Genomic DNA, 5,354 nt, shown 5'->3' with positions numbered 1-5,354 from the left:
AGAAGGTGAATGTAAATCATTAGGGAAATGTGTTTTTGAAGAATAGAAGAAATGAGCTGGCGCTTATTTAATGACAGAAAAAGTAGAAACTCTGAAAATCTGTAAAACCAGATGTCATAATTTCAAAGGAGCAGTAGAAGCTTTGGAGATTGGTGTGGAAGGTGACACTGAGCAACAGGGAGGACAGGAGACCCACCTCTGGAACTGAGGTTCTGGGATGCAGAAAAACATGCAACTTCCTGCAAAAATGGCTACCAAGGATGCTGAATCTCCATCATGATTCCTGGTTGCGGTTAATGCCAGGAAGTGCAGGGAAATTCTGAGAAGAGGTTGCAGGTATAGGGATTGTGCAGATCTTCAACCAGAGTGTTGCCCCTGGAATTTTCTTGTTAAATTCTACTGCTAAAAGACAATCGTAATGGCAAACGCCCCAGAAAATCCTCATAGACAAGCCATGACAGCAGAAAGTAAGGTTAAAGACACAGCCAGTCACCACTGTTATTCCAGTGCAAGATACGAATCCTGAGAGGAAGTGTCCTAAATGCATCAAAAGGAAAGACCTTCATTACATGTTCTATATATTTTTTTGGTTCCTTTATAATCTCTGCTTTAAAGCCAAGTAAAGGACAACTTGGTACTTCTATTGTCTGTTACCCTAACACTGCATATGATAAAATAAATATACTCTTTTAGCATTCATGTTTTAATTCATATTAGCCCTATTATAGCGACAGATTGTTCAATGTAGTGGATGAAATAACTCATAGTTAATTAGTGGTTGAAACACAGTAGAATCCAACTCCCCCCCTTACCTCACAGCCTCTTAGAACACTGCCCCAGTCATCCTATCTCACTTAAAAATTGAACCGATTTTTACAATTACAACTTAATGACTCACCTTTGAGTAAACATTCAAAATCAAACTAATTTTTCAATAACCACAGTAACTCTAGTTAGAATTAACTGGAATTATTATAGTTATTAAAGTTGTCAGAGATAATTAAAATTTCTGGTATAAATGTCTAATTTACTTCTCATATGCATGAGACTGCTTCAATAATTTAACCACTAGTAAAATTCTGATAGCCCCAAGGGCTAAGATTCATGTTGAAAAATAACTGAGGAGGTGAGCCACCAAAGAGAATTTGACAACCATTGGTTGGTGCAAAAGTAATTGCGGTTTTGCCACTAAAAAGTAATGGTTAAAAAAAAATACAGTTACTTTTTCACCAACCTATAGAACCAGGTTATTGAATGGATGCTGAGTGCTTCTTAAGCACCTGAATTCACTCACTCAACATGTACGTATGGAGCATCTGCTTGGTGCCAGGTCTGCTGCAGGCACTCGGAATTCATCTGCATTTGGATGGAAGACCTCTGCCCTCAAGCAGTTCATTTTTAGCAGGTCAGGAGAGGACCCAGGGGAACCCTGATAACAAGTTCTGAATATTTTAGGAAAATGACAGGGCACATTAGAAGGTGGCCAGCGATGTGTGAAAAAGACAACCCCGAGCCAAGAACACAGATGGGGGAGAAGCCGATGAGGTATGAAGGAGGATTTTGCAGGGTGTGCTCAGGATAGGTCTTACTGAGCTCCCGAGGTTTTATTAAATAGCTGTGTGATAAAGAGGCTGACTCCAGTTTCTGCTGCTTGAAAACATTTAAGCCTCACTGGCCAAATGTTTGTCCTGGGCCTCTCTTCAGCTTGTCCCACATCTGGACAAGCTGAGAAGAAAGCTCAAGTGCTCCCACTTGGACACTGGCAGGAGATTCAGATCACGCAAGCCCTCAATCTGGGCACCTTTACCCAACCCCAACCCCCTGCTCACCACAGTAAAACCCCCAGCTATGCACCTTTCCTTGCTCTTTCACACTGTTTGAGACCTGCTTAAGAGGTTTGCCCTGTTCTGCCATTATGTAAATACACCTTGTTATACTGTCTTGGTGTGTGTGTGTGTGTGTGTGTGGCATCATTGATCTCAACATTGAACCAAATTTGGGGGCCGCGAGTCCACCCTGTCTTTGCAGGGGTTCTTAACAAGGGACAGCTAGGGGGGCGAGGTACCTGGCACATTCCTGGAACAGTGCAAATTGGCATCCGCCTGAAGTAAGGGGAAAAATAACTAGAGAAAGAATCAGATTGTAAATGATGGGAATGGGAGATGTTAGATCACAGGAAGCTTTTTGGCTTTTTTAAGAACATAGACTTTACTTTGAATGAAATAACCATTGCAGGGCTTTGAGCGGAGGATGGGCATGGTTTACTTTTGTTTATTTAGTTTACAGTAGCTGAATTGAGATATAATTCACATGCCATAAAATGTATTATTTTCAATGCCTACAATTCAGCGGCTTTTAGTATATTCATAAAAATATGGAATGTCCCATGAATTTCCATGTCATGTTTACACAGGGGCCAGGTTCCTCTTCTCTGTATGTTCCAGTTTTAGCAGATGTGCTGCTGAAGTGAGCACCTGAGGCTGGCTTGCGTGGGGACCCTCTCGCTGCTGCGGAAGGAGCCAGGCTCTGGAGCAGGGGAGCTGGCGGGTGCGCGTGGGAATCCAGTGACAGAGGACGGTGTTTCCAGCTGCAATGGTGAGTAGCTGGGAAATGGTAACAATCCATGAGGTTCTGGATCTTCCAAAGGCAGAGACAACGGGATTTCCTGATGGGTTGGGTGTTGCAAGTGCTGTTTGTTCTGTTCAAAATTAGGACGTCCTAGACGGGAAACGGGAACTGAAAGGGCAGCCAGTTACCGCCCACGGACGCAGAAAAAGGAAGAGCTGTTTTCTGCTTTTAGTGGCAGGAGAAACCTGATGTGGTGCAGATTTTGTGAAACGAAGGAAGGTCTCCAACTTCCAGGCCCGAAGTCCCTAGACTCACGTAGAGCCGAGGGGTGGAGCCACTGTTTCCCTGAGAGAGAGTACCACTAGCCCAAGAACCAGATAGAGACTATGTCCACAGCAAGCCACTCAGGACAAAGGGAATAAAGAGACAGACGTCCAAAAACCAGTACATAGTGATGACCAAATAAATGTGTGGCTACACACTGTTTTAGGAATTTATACTGTGTTACTGCACTGCTGTTCTATTTTGCTTTTCTCTCCCTATCTGTTGCTCTCTATTTTTCTGTCTCTCTATTCCTCTCTCTCCATTTCTCCCTTTCTATTCCCTCTTGCTATCTCTCTCTGTATGTATCTGTCTCTCTCCATTTCTCTGTCTCTTTATATATCTCTCTATATTTCTTCCTATCTATTCTCTCCCCTCCAGCTTTCTCTCTTTCCCTCTGTGTGTGTGTGTATCTGCTTGTCTGTCTCTGTTTCTTTCTCTTTCTATACATATATTTCTTTCGCTCTCTTAATTGTTAAAGCACTTCTTTGAAGGCTGTCTAACATTATCTTGGCTCAGTAAAAGAGACAGGAGAGTTTCCACACCACAGTAGGTATTGGTGGGAGGATCAGAGCTCCTGGATTCTCTGTCCGGCCATGGCAGCGCCAGGTTTGCGGGGTGCCATATACCCCCAGGAGTTACTGAAATGGCAATGAAGTTGGAAAGTGAAAAACCAACAAGGAAAATTTGAAGACAACCAAAGTGGACAACCCCCACAACCAAGGTGGACAACCCCCCCACAACCAAGGTGGACAACCCCCTCCAACCAAGGTGGACAACCCTCCCCAACCAAGGTGGACAACCCCCCCCCAACATTTTTTTTAGGGCTTTTGATTACCAGAGGCCTTATTTTATATGGCAATTAAGAAGACTTGAAAAGTACCTCATCAAGGTCAGGCGCGGTGGCTCACGCCTGTAATCCCAGCACTTTGGGAGGCCGAGGCGGGTGGATCACGAGGTCAAGAGACCGAGACCATCCTGGCTAACACGGTGAAACTCCGTCTCTATTAAAAAATACAAAAAATTAGCCAGGCGTGGTGGCGGGTGCCTGTAGTCCCAGCTACTCGGGAGGCCGAGGCAGGAGAATGGCGTGAACCCGGGAGGCGGAGCTTGCAGTGAGCCGAGATTGCACCACTGCACTCCAGCCTGGGAGACAGAGTGAGACTCCATCTCAAAAAAAAAAAAAAAATAGAAAAGTACCTCATCAAACAAGCATGCATAAATGAAAGCATTGGGGAGCCAATTGGGTACAGTTAATTTTTATTTACACTCTCTCTCCACTCTGGCTTTATTTATCGCCAAGTAGCTGGAGGGGTAGAATCCACCAGAGGGTAAATCACTAGTTCTGTGTGAACGGGAATATCTTTCTAGTACATTGTTCAAAAATAGATCACAAGTGAGATTGACACAATTCAGAGCAGCTTGTTCTCCTCCTTAAATGTCATGGTAATGCACTCCTGTCTCGACAAAGTCCAGGTTGCACAGCCGTGCACAAAGGCTGGGGTTCTCAAGTTCCTCTGGCGCCCACTTGAGGAAATGCTGTGTTCAAATCCAGAAGGAAAATGCCAAGGTTGAAGTTAAGATGAAAAAAACACCAATTAGAAAAACAATCTGCTAAGCCTGCTATATCCAGTTCAACAACCATCCTTTATTATTTGGGGACATTAAAACTAAAAGGGCCATTGGTGCTGTTATGAAAGATTAGATTGATTTTTAAATCCTCCACACACTCAAGACTTCGTTGCTTCTTGCCAAAACACAGTCATCCTGCACTGAAACAGAACTGATCTTTGAAGGTTGATGAAATACACAGGGCTGGCTGCATTCCATTGGAGAAGATGCCTTATAAGGTGAACAGAACCCAGGGTTTGTCAAAGATGTTATGGTATACCAGGGCTGCTGATATAAGAATATATAGAGTAAGAATTGAGACATAAATTATGGATTTTAAAACTTCTTGAATTTTTTTAAGATCTATAGATCATGCATAAAACTATACTTAAAAGTAAGAGAGAATGACAGCTATTGTCATTCCAAATCTTCTCAAAGTAAAGATTCTAACGTATATCTTCTGGGATCACAAGCATTCTCAAATGCACGGGAAAACAATTGTAATCCGTTCCCAATAACATGAAAATAAGTCAGAGTGCAAATTCCTTGGGAGATGTATTGAGGAGTTGACAACGTGTTGATATTTACATACAATGTGTTGTAGATTTTTTCTGTATTTGCATTGTGTTGCGTGCTATTTATTAAACATAAATCAATTTCAGTTTCTCTAAGACAAACATGAAAAATTCTGATAGCCATTTCTAATAGAAAAACTATCCCACCTCTTTCACCTTTCAGAAAAGCTTGAATGGAAATGCCCAGATCAAAAGTATGATTTTTTTCCTTCTTTGAATTTTGCTTTTTGTGTTGGTTTGTATTTATATATTTATTGTCTCCTTCTGAGGTGACTTTGC

General features: G+C 42.5%; 1 pseudogene, besides 1 other annotated feature; it reads right to left on the bottom strand.

Annotated features, from left to right (window-relative positions):
• On the bottom strand, positions 2,369 to 2,474 carry RNU6-163P (RNA, U6 small nuclear 163, pseudogene; annotated as a pseudogene).
• Positions 2,806 to 2,855: an enhancer, noted in NCBI's record as "active region_2922". NCBI's record gives its function as "activates an Ori minimal core promoter by ATAC-STARR-seq in GM12878 lymphoblastoid cells {active_cell/tissue: GM12878}" and the evidence as "EXISTENCE:reporter gene assay evidence [ECO:0000049][PMID:35858748]".

This window comes from Homo sapiens, chromosome 10, assembly GCF_000001405.40.
Source record: "Homo sapiens chromosome 10, GRCh38.p14 Primary Assembly".
NCBI classification, from domain to species: domain Eukaryota; kingdom Metazoa; phylum Chordata; class Mammalia; order Primates; family Hominidae; genus Homo; species Homo sapiens.
Note: the sequence above shows the minus strand (reverse complement) of the source record. Positions and strands in the feature narration are given on the sequence as shown.